Below are 18,991 nucleotides of genomic sequence, written 5' to 3'. Positions count from 1 at the left end.
CCTGACCTCAAAGTGATCTGCCCATCTCTGCCTCCCAAAGTGCTGGGATTACAGGCATGAGCCACTGTGCCCGGGCATTATTTAGATAAATTTTACCATATATCACTATGATACATATATAAAAAGGAAAATACAAGTAAAATAAGTTAGTTAAGGCATGGCTGAAATTTGTTCATTCAGAACTCTTCTGAATCACTGTTTTACAAGAGTTGTGATGTCCACATCTTCTATGCTCTGATCCTTCCCATCGTCACGAGCACTGAGGATGTGGCATTTCCTAACAAGCTGCTCCACTCTTGTCTCTGGGATTTTCTTCCAAGTTACCAGTGGTCATGTGCAAGATTTGCAGCAATGACATCACAACTGTTCCCTTTAAGAACACATCTTGACTTCAGAGATGCTAAACTGGAGAACTGTGCACTGGTGAGACAGGTTATCCAGCTGTGGGGAGGGCAGGTTGGTTCTGCAGGCTCCCTGGCAACAATTGAGAAGCCAGCTGTAGAGTCTTAAACCTCCCTGTGCATAGCGATTGCAACAAGATGCTGAGAAACTGTATTCAAACTCCTCCAAAAATGGTGGTTTGTCTCTCATGAGGTGAGCAGGTTCCCTGAAAGAGGGACTGGGGAGGCAGCTGAGCATCCCTGGGCTAGAAGACCTCTGAGGGCCTCTGCAGCCCGAGTCCCATGTCCTTGTGATGGTTACAACAAAGAGATATAGAGCTGTGGCCTTTCTTCTCCTGCCTTCTCACCACCTTCTGCACATGGGCAGAGAGGTAGCCATCAGGGAAGCAAATGGGCACTTGCCTCCCAGAGGCCTCTCCATGGGCCATGCAGGGCGAAACACACGCTGCTGACTCACTTCAGCCATCATAACCCAAAGGCTGGCCCCAGGGACATGCCTCCTTGGAATGGACACATTCTCAGTCTGCCCTACCTTGAGATCCTGTCTTAGGAGATTAACTCAAGGTATTAAGTATCTTAGGAGTTTAACTCAATTTCCTCGGGAGGATACAAAGCAGGTTCACGCGTGGTGGCTCAAGGGCACACAGTGACCCCTTCCCAGCCAGGCCCCCTCAGCTGTAGGCTCTGGACCCCTGAATGAGCCTGCCCTCCTGGCTGTCCCCACAAGGCAGCACCCTCTACCCTAGTAATGTGCTGATGTTCCAGTCCTGGTCTTTCCCTCTCCAGCATGCTGCCAGGGCCTGTCCACTGGCAACACTGCTCCATCTGCCCCTTCTCTCTCATTCCACAGCTCTGCCCTCACCCAGAGCCCCAGCCATTCCCTGTCTGCTCGGGGGCTGGCCCCAGATGAGCTCCTCACCACCTTGCTCTGGGCACTGGCTGGGCGCAGTGGCTCACGCCTGTAATCCCAACACTTTGGGAGGCTGAGGTGGGCGGACGACCTGAGGTCAGGAGTTCGAAACCAGCCTGGAGCCTGGCCAACATGGCGAAACCCCATCTCTACTGAAAATACAAAAACTTAGCCGGGGGTGGTAGCAGGCACCTATAATCCCAGCTACTTGGGAGGCTGAGGCAGGAGAATCGCTTGAACCCGGGAGGTGGAGGTTGCAGTGAGCCAAGATCATACCATTGCACTCCAGCCTGGGTGACAAGAGGGAGACTCTGTTTTTGTTTTTGTTTTTTTTTTAAAAAAGGTTCTGACCTTGCCTCTCTGTAACCTAAACCCTTTCAGTGATTGTTCAAGGCACACAAGGAGCTAGCCAGGGAGAGCGGGGAAGGGTGTTCTGGGAGAGACCAGCCCCTGCGAAGGCCCGGAGGGGAGATGGAGTGCTGGTCCCTGACACCTGCTTGGGCCTCCTGTGTCTGGAGTGGAGAATGTGTGGTGGTCCAGGGCCTGGAGAACAGGTTCATGAGATGGGCAGGGGCCACATTGTTCATGAGGGTTTTGTGAGCCATACTGGAGATGGGCATTCTAGGGAAGGCCCTAGAGGGACCATTTTCCAGAATGAGTGTAGCTCTTCTCAGACTGTAATGTGCATTTGGGAATCATCCAATGATCTCAGTAAAATGCAGTTTCTGATTCAACAGGTCTGGGGTGGGGTCCAAGAATAAGCATTTCTAACAAGCACCCAAGGTGATGCCCATGGTGCCGGCCTGGGATCCCCCTGAGTATCTAGGGGCTGCAGTGAGTTGTCTGACTCCCATAATACACTAGCCAGGTGCACAGGGGTTCATTCATTCGTTCAAATACTTATTGAGCACCTATGGTGTGCCTGAATGGCAGTCTAGGTCTGGAGATATAATAGATGATAAAACTGCTATAAATAAATAAAGCTGCAAAAGTCCCTGCCCTCATGATGCCGATATTCTGGAAGGGAAGACAAATGATAGAACAAGACACAGGAAATTAAGCAAAATATACTGCTATTTGCTAGGGGGTAGGGAGTGCTGGGGTGGGGTGGTATTTTATGTAGGATGGCCAGGGAAGACCTCACTGGGAGCAGACAACAGAAGGAGGAGAGAGTGAGCCATGTGGGGAGGAGCTCTCTGGGTAGAGCGACAGCAGGTGTGAGGTCTTGAGGCAGGAGCGCACCCTGCCTATCCAAGAAGCAGTGAGGAGTGAGGTGGGGGAATGGACAGACTGTCTTATTCAACTCCAGATATAATTTGCTTAGCATACTACAGAGCAGTGAGGCTGATCCAAGGTTTGTAGTAGCTTGTGGGGTTGTGGCAGCAGGTGCAGGTGAGCACAACCCTCTAGGTGACCTGGTGGTCTTTGTCCTCCCCTGGACTCTGCCCTTGAGCCACTGCTCAGTGCCTGGGCACAGGCACACACACACCCTGGGGGAGCAACAGACAGTCACAATTCCTATCTCTTGAACTGACCCTTGGGTTTCAGGGAGAGATCAGCACCTAGAAAAAAAAAACAAGATGGAAGACCCCTCCATCCCACTACCATTGTCTCTCCCTGACTCCCAAAGCCAACCTTGAGCCTCAACTACCCTCTGGGAGGCCCTTGTTTGTCACTACCTCTCACGGGTCCCAGCATGGACCTCGATTGAGCCTGATCTCCGCTGCAGCCCCCAGGGAACACCCACCCCACCTGTGGTCACTCAGTAGTCTTTAAAATTTTTATTGAGATAGGGTCTCGCTCTGTCACCCAGGCTGGAATGCAGTGGCGTGATCTTAGCTCACTACAGCCTTCACCTCCTGGGATCAAGTGATCCTCTCACCTCAACTTCCTGAGTAGCTGGGGACACGGGTGTGCACACCACACCTGGCTAATTTTTAAATTTTTGTAGAGATGGGGTCTGACTATGTTGCCCAGGCTGGAACCCGCAGTCATGAGTGGCCAAAGGAAAAGGAAGGGCTGCAGGAAGGGAAGCCCATGAGAATCAAGACCAGGCCTCTGACCTCCTCCTCTCTCCCTCCCTGGATAGCCAATGCACCCCACAGGACTGCCTCAGGACTCACCTTTTCCTGGCAGGCCAGGGAGACTGGCAACTCCTCTTCCTCTGGAGGCTGCTCCTCAGGGCACTGGAGGGCGGAGAGGCTGCCTGTTCCCTGTCCACATCCCCATCAGGATGTGGCACTGGCTCCCAGGCTTACCCAGGCCAGGGTGGGGCTTCTGCCGGAGCAGAAGGGAGGCCAGGTGGCCTCAGGCAGGTTACCTGATATTGCCAAGCCTGTTTCCTCATCTGTAAAGTGAGCACTCCTCACACATGGCTGGTGAGGATTCCATGGGATGAAACACGTCCTCCTAAGAGTGCTGGATGACCGAAGAGTAGTGCACTCACTGTGCGCCCTGCGCTGTCCGGAGCCTGTTACACACACATTGCTTCAGTGCACCCTCACAAGGCAGAGGTTGGAGCCATTCTCTCCATTTCACAGAGGAGGAAACAGAGGCACAGAAAGGTTAAGGAGCCTGCAAAGATCTCATGGTTCATAAACAATAGAGCCCAGACAAGTTCCTGAAAGCCCCCTCACCCTCTGGGCCATCTGTCAAGCTCAATCTGTGGCACAAAGGGAGTAGGTCCCTGTCTGTACAAACAATCAAAAAAAATTAGCTGGGTGTGCTTGTGCATGCCTACGGTCCCAGCTATTAGGGAGGCTGAGGCAGGAGGATGACTTGAGCCTGGCAAGTTGAGGCTGCAGTGTCATGACACTGTACTCCAGCCTGGGTGACAGAGTGAGACCTTGTCTAAAAAAAAAAAAAAAGTAACACTCAATATACCATGGCCATTACATATGATTATTATTACTACGCTTTTTATTAATCATACAGAAGACTCCCACCAGAGGTGGGTGCTGTCAGGGGAGGGGTGCACCTGTAGTTGGAGGCCTCAGGTGGGGGAGCCCCATGTGAGCACATGTGGAAATGGGGGCAGCCTTCCTGTTTCACTGTCCACCTTGGCCCCAGGCCCAGGCACTTCCCTAACAGCTGTGACTCTGATGAACTCTCAAGACTACGTTGCCCTCTCCACCTCCACAGCCACATGGTGTGAGGCACGTTCTTCTGTCAGGCAAAAATAAATTACCTTCCCCCAAAGCAGGCCCTCAGCTGTGTGGTGTGTATGAATGTGTGGTATGTGGTGTATACGTGTGCATGTGTGTGGTGTGGTGTAGGTGGTGTATGGTGTATGTAGTGTGTGGGGGGGGTGGGGTGGGGTGTGTGTGTGTGTTGGGGTGAGGTGTGAGTCTCCTAGACCAGAGCACAGTGAGGCTTCTGGGGAAGTGTCACATTTCCACCCTGAATGAGCAGCCATGACCTTTTAGGAGCAGGAATCTGGAGAATTTCCCAGGTTTCCTGCAGGGCATCTGGGAAGCCTGACTTTCTCTACCTTTCAAAATGTCCTGACACCCCCTAAAACAAAATACTCCAAACTGTCTCACAAACCAATGTGTTAGCCTCACAGAAGAAGGAAGGTGGGGAGAATTGGGGACCAATAAACAAACCCTCGGAGTAAACCCGGTATTTTATAAAATGGCACAAAGCACGTCCGTGACTTCACACATCTCCATGCAAAGTCTCGAGCAAGGGGCAGGCACCATCCCAGTTTGGCAGGCAACAAGAGTCTGTGATTGCTCTGCTATTTTAGACTCACAGCAGCTGTCACAGATTTAGAAGCCAAACAGCTGTGACTCAGGAGTAGCTGCAAAACAAGGTGGTTAGCAGACACCTGAGATACTTAGAAGGTAACTTAGGTGTACACTGACAAGCAACAATTCGAAAACAAAGATTGTCCATGTGGCAGAGGCAGCCAGCTGCCCTCCAAGATCAGGCCCCCCTTCCCTCCTGCAGAGTTGCTGCTGGGAAGTGGCTACCCAGCCCCTAGCAATTGGCTGAGGCACGTGACTGAATTCTGGCCAAGAGGAAGTGGGCAGAAGTGATGTACACTGTTTCCAGACCTGGCCAAAGCCACTGTGACACTCCACCTCTCTCCCCCTTATCTGCGGGCTGGATTTGATGTCAGGGGCAACCATGAAAGCCAAGAGCTGAAGACTGTGTAGTCTGCACGAACCCTCCGTCAAGCTGGAACTGAACGGAACAGAACCTCCTCCCCTGTTCCCTTCTCTAGAGGATTAGACTCATGGGAAAGAGAAATAAAGTTTGCTGGGTCAGACCACTGACATTTGGGGGTTTATTTGTTATGGCTACATTAATTATCAGCTGATAATTAAAGCATGTTTATTGCTGAAGATGATTGGTAGACGAGATATTAGCAGACCACTAATTATTAGTGCATAACTGGTAATAATGAAGTAAATGATGACTAAGAGGTCTACTACATTCACTCAGAGGAAACTGACACCTAAGATGTTTACTGATGACTTAGATATTTGCTGATGACTCTGATGCTAGTAGTTAATTAAAATATTAATAGAAAACTAAAATATTTCCTGGAAACTATGATGTTAACTGAAAACTAAGAGTTAGCTGATAACTAATAATGGGGATATCTGGCGACACTTGCTTTAGGTTCCCTCTTCGCAGCTCTCAGCCTATGTCTGTGCAGTGGCTGCCCTCTTGTGCACTGACAAGTGAGTCTCTCTCTGAGTCCACCTGACAAAGCCCCTCTGGCCCAGTCTGGCCTTGATGATTGACAAACCAGACCCAATGAATGGCATCAATCTTTGGGTGCCTGCTTCCTCTATGGATCTCACAGTGTAAAGGACACATTATTCCTTTCTACACCCCCGCGACAGTGCCTGAGGAAGGGGAACCCCTCCCCTAAGATCTAGTTCTCCTCTGAGTTCTGAAGGCAGCCATGAGTATGCAGCAGCAGATGTGGTAGGTGAGGCCTCCCTTGGATGGGACCAGGGCTGAACCCTCCTCAATTAATCCCAGATGGGGCTCTTCTATTGTTTGTGGAAAAGATGATCTGCGGAAGACACAGATGGGGCTGCTGAGATGCCAAGGAGTGCTTATCATCGGGGAGGTCTAGAACAGGTCTCCCCTCTCCCCTCTGCCATGGGATTTTCCTCACAGTAGGTGGAGTTGAGCAAGGATGGCTTCCTGGCTTCTAGGTCCCAGGGATGGTGTCCAAAGGAGGCTCTGTCTGCCAGGGGTGATGGCTCCCTGGGAGCCGTCAGTCCCAGGCTGAGAGAGAGCCGACCCCACATGCTGAATTGGGTGCCTCAGAACTTCAGGGATGCATTCAACCAGGTGTGTGCCCACAGCGAGCCAACGTTCACAGATACACATGAGGAAGTGTGGTTTTGGCAGGCTCTAGGGCATTTGGGGAACAACTGGAGAGAAAGCTATAAATAAGGACCATCTGGGAAAATTCAGGAGGTTCAAGGGCTGGTTTGCATAAAGGTCTTTGGGAACCAGCGAGGTGGAGCAGAGTGGGATCACGGCTCTGCCACCTTCTTGTGTGTGGTCTTGGGCAAGGCTCCTTATGTGGCAAAGCACTTAGAACAGGGCCTGGCCCATAATTAGTCCTCAGAAATGATAGATATTATTGTTGTAATGTCGGGAGATTGCAGCCCATGGCCCCTGTATACAGGGTGTCTGTCTTAGGTGTGCTCTTCCAGAGGCTGAATAAGAACTGAAATTCAAGTTCAGGGCTTAAGGCACAGGGAGATGAGTCATGGGGCATTGGGTTCCAGCAGTCCTGGTCACCACCTCCCCTCCAGGGCCTCATTATCTCTGCACAGCTGCCTCCAGCCCCTCATGTGGACAGGCTGAGGGAGGGCACTGGAGGCCTGGAGTGAGGTCATTGGGCCCACCCTTGGATCTGAGGCCTCTGCCTACAGGACTGGCCTTTCCCTGGCTGCTCCAGGCTCTCCCCTCCCTACCAGCACCATCACCAACCACCCACCCGCCCTCGGGGGATTTCCCTACTTGCTCGTTGTTGGTCACCCTAGATTCCTTTCTCCAAGCTCATCAGCTTGGATGAGAGCCTTTAGCCACCCACGCTCTGAGTGTCAGGCAGGGACCCAGCCCACGAAACAGCTGTTTTCTGCTTGCTCTTCTCACAGGAAGAAAGACGAGGGAAAACTCTCCTTTTTATCTACCCCTCTGCCTTTCCTTGACTTATACAGTCCAGCTGGGCCCGCCAGTTAAGAAAGTTTACCTCCTAAATTAGCTGGGTGTGGTGGTCCATGCCTGTAATCCCAACTACTCAGGTGGCTAAGGCACGAGAATCACTTGAACCCCAGAGGCAGAGGTTGCAGTGAGCTTAGACTGCACCGCTGCACTCCAGCCTGGGTGATGAAGTGAGACGCTGTCTCAAAGAAAAAAAAAAAAAAAAAGAAAGAAAGAAAGTTTACCTCCTGCACTACACTTTGCCTGATGGTAGTACGGGGAGGGGGTGCTCTAAGTGGAATGAGCACAGATTGGGGGTCAAGATACATCATCACTTACTGTCATGGTCTCAAGTTTCGTTATCTGCAAAAGGAGGTGATAATGCCTCCTTTTTCGGTCTTATCCACAACCTTGAATCTGACAGCAAGTGAGCAGGAGAGTTCCATTAGGGGAACGTTGCCTTCCGTTCTTCTGTTGCAAGGTTGCAAGAGCCTAAGACTGAGATACAAGAAAGGGAGCTCCCCACACCTGCCCAGACTGAGCAACTCCGTGAGCAGGAACTTCATGGGGGCTGCTTTTTGTTTCTTTGGATTCCACTTCATACAAGGAAAGGAGCATGTTTTCCTAGCTAGGATACATCCTCACAGGCAGCTAGATATCCTGCCTGGGAGAAGAAAAGAAAAATCAAGGGAAACAGGTTTTTAGCTCATTTAGAGCTTCACAAAATTGTACATTTTGATGTTTTGCCTCATGAAGTATTACTGAAATACTTCATGGCCAATAAAAATGAGAAAATGCAAAAAAGTAGACAGAAGGAAAAAAATGACTTGTAGGAGTCTCAGCCTATGATATGCAAGCAAATTTCCTGCTCTCAATTTTCTTTGTAAGCGTTGAAAAAAAATGGTCAGGATTGCATTGTGCATGTATCTTCCTTCATTCATGAGAAAATTTCCAAGCTACATGTTTTTGAAAAACCATCTGTTGCTGGCTGCCTCGCCTTCCATTGACTGGATGTACCCTGCTTTTCTTAGCCAATCCCCTGAAGGTGTGCATTTAGGCTGGGATGAAATATGCCTGTGCTGTTTCCCAGCTTACTAATTGTTTTAGGGTCTTAGAGATCAATTTTCTTAGGCAGACAGCTGGCTCCTATTGTGGTAGCATTTGCCATGGAGCACCACTTTCCCTGGGCACAAACTCTGTTCTCTTATTGCCCCAATAGAAATAACCCTGATACCCGCCCACGAGTCTACGTCTTCCACTTGCTGGATGACCTTTCCCAGCTCTCTGGAACTAACCACATGCTCTTGGCCTCTCACCCACCACTGCCCCTGCAGAGAGGACACCACCTCTGTGATTTCCCAGGTTTACAGGCTTTCCAGGAGGGAAACCCCAGCCACACTCTGCTCAAAATGCCAGTGGTTTTGGGAGCCATCTCACCTGACTGTGTACACCAAGTAACATGGACAATTAGGTGAGGGGACTGGTAGACATGGCGGGGAGGCAAACGTGGAGGACAGAAGATGTGGGCTTGGATCCCAGTTCTCCTACTTATTAGCTGTGAAAACTGAGACAATTATTGAACCTCAGAGCCTGGGTTTCTTCTTTTATGAGAGAATAATTCCTTCCCTCTAGAGTTTTTGTGGGAATTAAATAAGATAATTATTGTGAACCTGCTGAGTCCAGTTTCTGACCTCAACAAGACAGTCAATAAATGGCTGAGATTATTCCCCACCACCTCACTCCCAGGGGTCAGAGTTTTCTGTCCAGTTGTTCCATTACCCATACTGTCTCTTAGTATGTACTGATGAGCTCTTGTTTGCAAAAGCTTTATCCTCTTGGAGCAATTTCTTCAGAGCCATGCTGGTGTCAGCCAGCTGGTCAGTCTAGCAGCCTTGAGGCTTTACTGGCCCATTGCTCTGGTCAGATCACATGCAAATAAAGGGCTCCCTTCCCTCATCTTGTTCAAGACCACTTAGCTTACTAGGAAATAACAAGATAATCAAAATCACTCACTCCTTCCTTGTACCAAATATTTTCATGGGCTTATATTTAATCCATATTCACTGCCATGTGCAATGAGACTGAGTACATTCAAGTCGGCTCTAGCACTCTAGACTTCTGGCCCCTGTCTTCCCTTTTGGTCCAACTCTTGGTCCTGGACCAAACTTATCCCCGCTAACCTGAAGATTAGGAAGAGGAAGAACTAGATAGAAATGATGGCTCAAGTGCATCAATGTGTCCAGTGATTCTCAAACTTTGCTGCCCATTAGAATCACTTGTGGAGTTTTAAAGATTCCTGGTGTTCAAGCCACACCATGGACCAATTAAATTGGAATATCTGGGCATGAGGACCAGGCAGAGTATTAAGTCTGAGAACCAGTGACTTAATTGCTGTTGCTAGTTTGCCTGTATCAGTGTTGTCTACCATGGACTGTAAGTTCTGGAACAAGAAGAACCACATGTATCCCACTTTATAGCATTCCATGTGGAGTCAGACACACAGCCAATGCTTCCGATGATGATGGAATACCTCAATCTGTTTGTAATTAACTCTGAAATTGGAATATGGTGTATTCCAGGATCACACATATGTCCTGAAGTCATAGATGATAAACATTTTATTACACTAAAAAAGTCATCTGTTAACTGCTGAACTGCAGGGGGACCACATGTGAGGCTACTTCAGAAAAATGGCATCAGATAACATATATAGATTTCTGGCATTATAAAATGGCTAGATTCTCCCCTACCTTCCCTCATTAAATATTAATCAGTGGCTTAGGTCAGTTCTAGTGGGAACACTTAATTGCTGACTTCACATAAAACCAGGATTAGCCTAATGTGCCAATGGTATGAGTCCATTCCTGGCCATCTTCCCAACAGCCAGACCGCTGTGGCTTGGACACCGGAGGCAACATCTGGGGGGCCTCAGTTCCACTCCTCTGTGGTGAGCTTGCTCTTCCTAATAACTGGCTCTGGAGTCACATCAACAATGGTGGCATTGCCATCTGGGGCCCACATGAGCCCTCTGGGGCGTGCTGCATCCCTACTGGGCTGCGGTGGGGCTCTGAGGTTGGGACCAGCAGCCTGAGCCTGGTTCCACTTCACTACACAGCAAATTGTATACCCAAGGGAGTGGTTATGACTTGCTGCTCCTCATTCATGTGAGGAAGTGGTGCCTTGCCTGGGATCCTGTGTGTCAGAACCACAGCAGGCCTGGGAGGCACATCCAGCTGGGGTTGGGGAGGACAGGCCTGCATGACAGAGCTGGGGAGTGGTGGGGACACAGGCAGAGGAACCAGCACTGCCTGCCTTTTGATTCAAAGCAACTTCAGAAGATCCCTGTGTCCATTTCCACATATTGGTTATTTGAACATTTCCTAAATGACTTCCTCATCCAGCCTGAAGGCAAAGAGACCATTCACTACCATCTGGAGGCTCAGTTAGCAGTTCCAAGTGGCTGGCACATTGCACCTGAGTCCTGCAGTTCCTCAGGCTGGCCTCAAATTCCCGAGAAGTGCCTAAGGCAGAGCCATTTCCCAGATCCGCAGGCTTCCTGGCTGCTCGAGGGGCACTGCTCCTTCCTGCTCCCACCAGCAGTGTCTCTGATGGCTTCCCATGGGATCAGATGGCCTCCTCTACCTGCAGTGTGGGTGGGGGGTGAGGGGCAGGATGTCCAACCCCCTCCTCAGTAGCTCATATTTCTCCTTTGCCCAGCTCACCTTCACCCCAGCACCAGGCCACACTACAGAGGCACACTGTTGACTGCAGTCTGCCACAGGACCGAGGTCAACAGTCAAGACATTTGTCTTTTCCCTTCCCCTGGGCCAGCAGACATCGCCCCCTCATCCCAGGCCTGGAAGGAGGTTCCTCAGAGGCCCTCGTGGTAGCTGCAGCCTCCTGGCTGTCAATCTTGCACCAGGAAGTTGATGAGGGCAGTTCTCGGGGAAAGGAAGGACTTCTTGATGCTTCGTCCTTGCAAAAGCCTGACACCCAGCTCGCTTTGAAGAACAAATTCGTGGACTTTGTCCTGGTCCCGGGCAACTTGTTGGGGCACAGGAATTTTGCCACAAGCTTTATTGTTGATCTGAGAAGGAGAAAAGCCAAGATAAACAATGAGGAACATCCTCAGAGTGGCAGGCGGCCCAATACCAAACCTCCTGCCTGTAAAGGGCATGGCTGCATTTGTTTAGGGGAAAGGAATAGAGGTGGAGAAAGGAGGAAGTCAGCACTCTGCTTCCCATAAGGGTAAAATGCAACCAGCTGAATAGGATTAATGCCTAGACCTGCAGAAAGAGACCGACACTGAGACTGCATGTGAGTGCCCGTACGTGGAGTGAGGACCGCCTTGCATTTTCTGAGCACTGCTCCCATACACAGCTGTGGTAGAGATTATGTCAAAAAGCCTCAGCATGAGATGGCTTGGGCCATTTCCAGGCAGAAAGGGATTATTCTGTCATCGGGGCTCAAGTTTAAGTTCAGATCCAGGTTAGAGTGAGCTGTCCCCTCAGATTTTACCTAGGTCTCAAGTGGACCAAACAGTTGACGGTTTCAAGGGGGACACAGTCAAACTTCTCTCTCTGCTGACTGGCTCCAGAAGGGGGCGCTCTAGTGTGAGGACTTAGAAATTGGAGCCACATCTTGTCACATTAATCACTCTTTCTCGCTTAACATGGGTCAGTACAGTTCCAGACACAGGTGGGTATTCACCGAATATTGATTCAATGAGGGAAGGTGACCACGTGGCTCAGTTTCTGAAGTCATGCTTCCAAATCCTCAATCCCATTGCTCCGAAATCTACACACACATTACTTTCACTAGCTCTTATTTTTCACTTGGAAAATATAGTCACAGTCTTAGGAAAAGTTACTAGGAATAATTTCTCAAGTTTCAACCAAAGCACATTATCAAATGTCCCCTAATCACCCACTTCATTTTTTCAGTTTTGCAGAACTTGGTGGCATTTTTATTGTCTGCATTAGCCTAGGTCACAGGGAGAGGACGAATAAAACACAAAGTCCTGGCATATTATGAAATACTGTTTTGAAAGCGTGAGGCTCCATGCTGCAGCGTTTTAAAGCGTTCTGAAGCTGGGGAACTAAGTGTGTGGTGTGAAGGACTGTGGCCCCCCTGCCCTGGTGTTTCTGAGCCATTAGAAGCTGCCTTCTTGCAAGGCCACATGCTTGGCTGGACTGAGACCCTGGAAGAGACCTCCCAACTGTCACCCAAGAGCCATGCCCCTAGTGAAGTCCTGGGGTCCCCAACAGGGAATTCTCAGGACATGCAGTTATTAGTGAATCATGTCTTTCCTCCTATGGAAGAGCAGCCCAGGGCAACATCTCCTCTGGGCCACCACCTACAGAGGGGGTGCTGGGTGAGGGGGAGCATGGTGCTCTCATGTGGGGAGATTCAGGTTTGACTCTTAGGCCTGGTCTTACAAGCTGTGGGATCTTGAGCTTAGTTTTTTTTTTTTTTTTCCTTAAGGACAGAATTCTCCAGATTCTGGAGTGAATAACCTGTGTAAAGGGACCAGCTCACTAAGCTGCACTCCCTCTGCCTTTGTCAAGAGTGCTGGCCAGGATAGGAGCTGGCTGTGGGATGTCCTCTTTGACGCATGGCCTCAGCACAACAATGACCCATTTCTAAACCTTCGAGCTTCCTGTGCTTTGCTGGAGCCGGGCAGGCTGGTCCTAAGTCATCACTGGTGACAGCCTGTCCAAGGGACCTGAGTCATTCTTGTCCACAGCTGGGGCTTTGGGGGCAGGGCATGTGATCTCTGAATGTGGCCATCGTGCTCTGAGTCTTTCCCTTGCTGCCTCGGGCACCCTCACACGGTTCTGGCTCCCCAGGCCTCCCCTGAGTTGCCTTACCAAGGCAGTCCCTTCAGGGTGAGTAGGTGCCAATCATGCTCCCCCTGTCTCTGGCATAAAGCGCCAATGAGATGGGCAGAGAAGTCAGGTTGGGACTCAACACTGAGCCTGAGCTTCAAGGGCCCAAAGAGGAAGAAGCACATTGACATCACTTCAAAAAGAGGCTGCTATGCTGTGGGGCTCTTGCACCTCCATCTTTGGAGAAGGCCTAAGCATGACTCTCCTGGACTTTTCTGACACCTGCCGGACAGGGCCCAGGCCACAGGTGTTCCTCCCACTCGAATCCATCACCTGTCCCCATCATGAGGGTAGCCTTGCGATGGCTAATAACAGTACAAGCTTCCATTTGCTGAGCTCTCACTCTGTGCCAAGCATTGAACTATGCAATTCACTTGTATGAACCTGTGAGTCGATGCATGAATATCCCATCCCATTTTACAGATAGGGAAGCTGAGGCACATGAAGTGAAGTCACTTGTCCACCTAGGCTCCACCCCAGGCAGTGGAAGAGACGGGATGACCTGACACAGCCCCTCTCTCTCCTGCTCACACACCCTGGTAGCCCCCTGTCCTCTGAGGGGTGTCTGGCCTCTGAGGAGGGGACACTCCCTACCTTTAGCTTTGTCTCCAGCACTGCCCTATGCCCTCTGCTCCAGTACCTCCCTGGCTCAGCCCGGGTCTCTGTGGGCCTGCCCCCCTATGTTTGTTCCTGGTATTGCGACACCCTTCTCTCCACTGGGGAGAGGCTGCTCCTCTTTCAAAGCCAAAGCTGCCTGTCCTTTTCCTCATAACGTATTTTCTGATTCTCCAACTGCCAGAAGTGGCAACGCTGATGCTAGCAGCAGTCACCATTCAGAGTAGATTCTGGACTAGCTGTGTGACCTTCAGTGAGTTATTTAGCTCCATCCTGCCACCATTTCCTTGCCTGTAAGATAGGGTTAGTCACACATCTGCCTGTCTGTGAATGGGGATAACAACAAGCCTGCCTCACAGGGCCACTGTGCTTAGTAAATAAGCTCACACCTGGGAAGTTCTAGGGCAGAGCGTGGCCCTGGGTCGGCGCTCACTCTGTATTAAGAGGATTTTGTCATTAGTGCATCCAGAAGCAGGCTAAGCACTTCCTGGCATTATCCTACCTAATTCTCTCAATAGCCGGATAAGGCAGGCACTGTGTGTGCCTCCATTTTATAACTCAGGAAACTGAGGCTTAGAGGTGTTAAATATGTTGTAAAACTGAGACTTATACCCAGGATGGCCTGACTTCCGAGCCCTTACATAAACTGTGTGTGACAGCTCATGTGCCCCCAGACCTTTGTTCCAAGGTGACAAGGCGGTAGCTCTTGTCTCTGTATCCCTGGTGTGGGCAGAGCCCAGCATGTCACAGGCACAAAGAACATGGGCACAATTGAACTGAATGACATCGAACTGCGCTTGCAGCCTGTTTCTGGCCAGGACACAAAGTGAGATCACATGGAGCGAGAACCCAGGCCTTCACAGAAGTCCTTGCTGCTGGCACGGTGCTGACCCAGCCTGGGTTCTCAAGCTGGGTGTACCTGCAGGGAGTCTTACACATGCTTTTCATTTTAGGTTTGCATTTCAATGATTATCTAAAATTATTTTTACCAACGATCAAAACTCAATTTCTTTTCTGCAGTGGTAATTTAAGATAGATATTTTCATAGACTAAAGCCCTCTCTTTTTCTTAAGTTAGCATTTCTCAACCGGGCTGAGGACAAGTTCTCAGGGATGCATGAGCTATTTATTTCTCATAAACATTACTCAAATTAAATAAATTTCTGGGCTGGGGCTGGGTGCGGTGGCTCCTGCCTGTAATCCCAGCACTTTGGGAGGCTGAGGTGGGCAGATCACTTGAGGTCAGGAGTTTGAAACCAGCCTGGCCAACATGGTGAAACTCCATCTCTACTAAAAATACAAAAATTAGCTGGGCATGGTAGCACATGCCTGTAATCTCAGCTACTTGGGAGGCTGAGGCAGGAGAATTGCTGTAAGTGGAGGTTGTAGTGAGCCAAGATTGTGCCACTGCACTCCAGCCTGGACAACAGAGTGAGAGAGACTCTGTCTCACCAAAAAAAAAAATAAAAAAATAAAAAAAAAAAATTCTGGGTTGGGTGTGGTGGCTCATGTCTGTAATCCCAGCAATTTGGGAGGCTGAGGCAAGAGGACTGCTTGAGCCCAGGAGCTTGAGACCAGCCCAGGCAACAGAGTGAGGCCTTGTCTCTATTAAATAATAATAATAATCATAAAAAAAGAAATTTCCTCCATGCCACAAGGATGGTTTTAATAATAATAACAATAAAGAAAGAAAAGAAATTTCCTCCATGCCACAAGGATGGTTGGTTTTGGTTTTGAAGATTTTTGGAAGAAGCCTGCCAGGGCACCCTCACATCCTCTTCCCTTGGGGTGGGGTGGCAGAGAACACAGTGCCAGGGGAGTTGGTGCAGAGACAAAGGGGCTGTGAAGGAGCCCGGTCTCCTGGGCAAAATATTGTCTTTCCAAACCTCCAGCTTCCTGCTGGGCCTTGGGTCTGCACAGGTGCAGAGGGGCCAGGGCCTGGCTGGCCAACCTCTGTGGGGTTATGCCCTCCCTCAGCCCCTAGGTGGGTTTGTTCAGGGCACTTTTCACAATTTGCAGCCATTTTATTTATCTTACTCTTTCCTTTTTATTCTTCCCTATCTCTTCCACTATGCTTTAAGCTCCATGAGGGCAGGGAACCTGTCTGTCCTATCTTGATTTTGTATCCCCAGAGCACTATGCCTGATGTAGAGTCAGACTTGCTAAGCATTTGTGAATAAACCTGGGCAAGGTGGACCAACTTCACTGAGGCTGAGTCTCCTCAACTGAAAAAATGAGAATGGCAACGCCCACGTTATAGGGTGATAAGAGTGAAATGACAATTTTGAATGTGAATTACCTGGCCCCATGTGTGGTTCCGGGGAGACATGTGGTTCCAAGTCTACTCCCTGTCCTCTTTTTTTCTTCAGACACATCAGCATATTTAAGAGATATTCACCATAAATGTGTCTCATTTAACAAATTAAACAAATGTAGAAAAATCACATATAGGATAAACTATAAGGGGGTTACTTGCTCTTAGAAAGGGTTTAAACGATAAACTCCTCTTATGTATTTAAAATCACCTAATTTTCAAGTAAAAATTATGGAGCCTTTCTGAAATATGTTTTACAGGTATTACTCCATAGCCACCCACCTCACTGTCACCCTTCCCCAGCCCCCAAAAGTCCCCAGGAGCATACGAGTGAAATTGAGAGTGACTGAAACACGGTCCACAGTTGGAAAGGAAGATAACGAGAACCTGTAAGGCGGGCCAGGTTTATTACTCCCCTTTCCAAGCACTTGAGGGCCATGAGAGTTTTATGCTCACATGCTTCTGGTGTGTGGTGACCTACAAAACTGAGGGTACTGGCAAAGGAAAGACAGGCCTTTGTGCCTTCCGGTCACAAGGTGTGGCTGAGGGCTGAGCTGAGTGAGCTAGAAAGGCCTGCTAATAGACCTCTCAAAACCACCACAGTATTTAGGGGCCACCAGCAGGGCAGGGACTGCTGGGTTCTGGGGTTGAGGGGAGATACTTACCAGAACTGCCATCTGGACAACCTCAGGCTGCTGCAGGAACTCCGGGTCCACAGCAGGCCATGCCTGGAGCAGCACACTGGCATCCCAAGTGTAGTGGGCACAGAGCTTCCTCGGCACCAGCGCCAGGCCTGCAATGCCGAGGCACAGAAGCGTGGGGTCACTCTAAGAACAGGGAGGCTTATGAGAGCAGGACCAAAGCTTCCATCCCAACACAGCCTGGCTTGGAGCTGTGTGAGGAGCCGGTGGGAAGCCAGACCATGGCTGCTGGGTGCTCACCACTTTGGCCTGGTTTATAATCCCAGGTTGTTGGGTAGCTTTTGTTTTTCACAAATGGCACGCAGAGCTGTAAAGATGGATGGATAAGCCATTCTAAAGTGTGCATTTGGAAAAACAAGGCTGCTGATTTGAATGGGTCATCTCTCTGAAGTTCTGCTGGTGAAGGAATGCCTTTGTGCTACCCTGAGAGCTGATTCCAAAGTACTGAGCAGCATTCGCTACCTATCTTGCCTATGCATTCTATGGTCTGAGAATGCCTCCCAACCTGTTCTTTTACTCACAATTACTGGAGCCAGGATGCAGTGAACGGCAGGACACTCCTCACCACGTGCAGGGGGATCCTAACCTTCCTGCAAACTTCCTCTCGGGAGAGGAGCCCTCCGTTTAGTGGAATGGAAGGAGCTTTCCTTGGCTCAGGGTGGGCCAAACACGAGGAAACACTGAGGAATGAAACCCTCTCAAGCCCCGTTTCCCAGAGTGCTTCGTGCCGCAGCCCCCAAGAAGAGGTGGCACTAAGGGTAGCAGAGGGCCAGCTGTCCAAGTGCAGCTGCAGTGGCCAGTGCTCCAGGACTTTAACTAGGGCTTGTCCTAGCAGGGAAAGCTTTGACTTAAAAGCCTCTGCTGTAATCTCAGCACTTTGGAAGGCTGAGATGGGAGGATCACTTGAGGCCAGGAGTTTAAGACAAGGCTGGGGAACACAGCGAGACCCCATCTCTTAAAAAAAAAAATTAGCCGGACATGGTGGCTCATGCCTATAATCCCAGGTACTTGGGAGGCTGAGGCAGGAGGACTGCTTGAGCCCAGGAGTTTGAGGCTGTAGTGAGCTATGATTCCCCCACTGCAGTCCAATCTGGGTGACAGAGCAAGACCCTGTCTCATAGATAGATAGATAGATAGATAGATAGATAGATAGATAGATAGATAGATAGATAGACAGATAGATACATGCAAGCCTCTGTTGATTTCATGAGTATAAGAGATGCCCCCAAAGGCACAGGGAATACACACCACAGAAAAATAGATCCCTGGGCAGAAGTGGGCAAGTGAATATGGCCAGCATGCCCATTCTGGAGCAGTGCCCTGGCAGCTGCAGTCCTCACCTGGGAATAGCTTTTCCACTGGTGGTGGAGGTGGAACTGGCCCTTTGACACCTCTCCCTTGTTATTAGCCCTGAGACTAGTACAATGCATTAGAGGGATAGGTCTATGGCTCAGGGTATGGGCTGAAGCTGAGTTTGTGACAGAGGGAGTCAATTCCACCAAAACCAGCCCCAATAACACTGGGTTGTGAATGACAACTTTTTGTTTTATCTTCCTTGATGACAAATGTAGTGTACACACTCCTTGCAGAAAATTTGGAAAGGCCCAAAATATAAAAATAAAAGTCACGTTCAGCCAGATAGCATTTTTAACTTTTTTTTTTGAGACAGAGTCTCACTCTGTCATCCAGGCTGGAGTGCAGTGGCGCGATCTTGGCTCACTGCAACCTCTGCCTCCCAGGTTCAAGCGATTCTCCTGCCTCAGCCTCCTGAGTAGCTGGGGTTACAGGCGCCTGCCACCATGCCTGGCTAATTTTTTGTATTTTTAGTAGAGATGGGGTTTCATCATGTTGGCCAGGTTGGTCTCGAACTCCTGATCTCAGGTGATGCACCCGAAGCACTGGGATTACAGGCGTGAGCCACCGCACCCAACCCCAGATAGCATTTTAAACTTATTTTAAAATATAGTAATTTAATGTATTTAA

General features: G+C 49.7%; 1 protein-coding gene across 4 annotated transcripts in view, besides 6 other annotated features; it reads right to left on the bottom strand.

Annotated features, from left to right (window-relative positions):
• Positions 4,045–4,094: an enhancer, noted in NCBI's record as "active region_19777". NCBI's record gives its function as "activates an Ori minimal core promoter by ATAC-STARR-seq in GM12878 lymphoblastoid cells {active_cell/tissue: GM12878}" and the evidence as "EXISTENCE:reporter gene assay evidence [ECO:0000049][PMID:35858748]".
• Positions 5,355–5,454: an enhancer, noted in NCBI's record as "active region_19776". NCBI's record gives its function as "activates an Ori minimal core promoter by ATAC-STARR-seq in GM12878 lymphoblastoid cells {active_cell/tissue: GM12878}" and the evidence as "EXISTENCE:reporter gene assay evidence [ECO:0000049][PMID:35858748]".
• Positions 6,507–7,706: an enhancer, noted in NCBI's record as "P300/CBP strongly-dependent group 1 enhancer chr3:45592715-45593914 (GRCh37/hg19 assembly coordinates)". NCBI's record gives its function as "activates an origin of replication core promoter dependent on BRD2, BRD4, P300/CBP, MED14 and CDK7 cofactors, with strong dependence on P300/CBP, by STARR-seq in HCT116 cells {active_cell/tissue: HCT116}" and the evidence as "EXISTENCE:reporter gene assay evidence [ECO:0000049][PMID:35650434]".
• The window catches only part of LARS2 (leucyl-tRNA synthetase 2, mitochondrial), a 160,832-nt gene continuing 151,362 nt past the window's right edge, over positions 9,522–18,991 (bottom strand). For 2 of the 4 annotated variants that reach the window (NM_015340.4, NM_001368263.1), the window contains 2 exons: positions 16,973–17,100; positions 9,522–11,578 (listed from right to left, as the gene is read on the bottom strand). In NM_015340.4, coding sequence (NP_056155.1) covers positions 11,399–11,578; positions 16,973–17,100 — 308 coding nt within the window. In that variant the 3' untranslated portion in view covers positions 9,522–11,398. The remainder of the gene's footprint in view (positions 11,579–16,972; positions 17,101–18,991) is intronic. The other 2 variants (XM_017006042.2, XM_047447830.1) reach the window with 1 other exon arrangement.
• Positions 13,038–13,332: an enhancer, noted in NCBI's record as "tiled region #4333; HepG2 Activating non-DNase unmatched - State 7:EnhWF, and K562 Activating DNase matched - State 5:Enh". NCBI's record gives its function as "activates a minimal TATA promoter and a strong SV40 promoter by Sharpr-MPRA in HepG2 and K562 cells {active_cell/tissue: HepG2 | K562}" and the evidence as "EXISTENCE:reporter gene assay evidence [ECO:0000049][PMID:27701403]".
• Positions 13,719–13,929: a silencer, noted in NCBI's record as "fragment chr3:45586492-45586702 (GRCh37/hg19 assembly coordinates)". NCBI's record gives its function as "represses an EF-1alpha promoter that drives an FKBP-Casp9 reporter gene in an ReSE screen in K562 erythroleukemia cells {active_cell/tissue: K562}" and the evidence as "EXISTENCE:reporter gene assay evidence [ECO:0000049][PMID:32094911]".
• Positions 14,722–14,948: a silencer, noted in NCBI's record as "fragment chr3:45585473-45585699 (GRCh37/hg19 assembly coordinates)". NCBI's record gives its function as "represses an EF-1alpha promoter that drives an FKBP-Casp9 reporter gene in an ReSE screen in K562 erythroleukemia cells {active_cell/tissue: K562}" and the evidence as "EXISTENCE:reporter gene assay evidence [ECO:0000049][PMID:32094911]".

This window comes from Homo sapiens, chromosome 3, assembly GCF_000001405.40.
Source record: "Homo sapiens chromosome 3, GRCh38.p14 Primary Assembly".
NCBI classification, from domain to species: Eukaryota; Metazoa; Chordata; class Mammalia; order Primates; family Hominidae; genus Homo; species Homo sapiens.
This window is presented reverse-complemented; position numbering and strand designations above follow the sequence as displayed.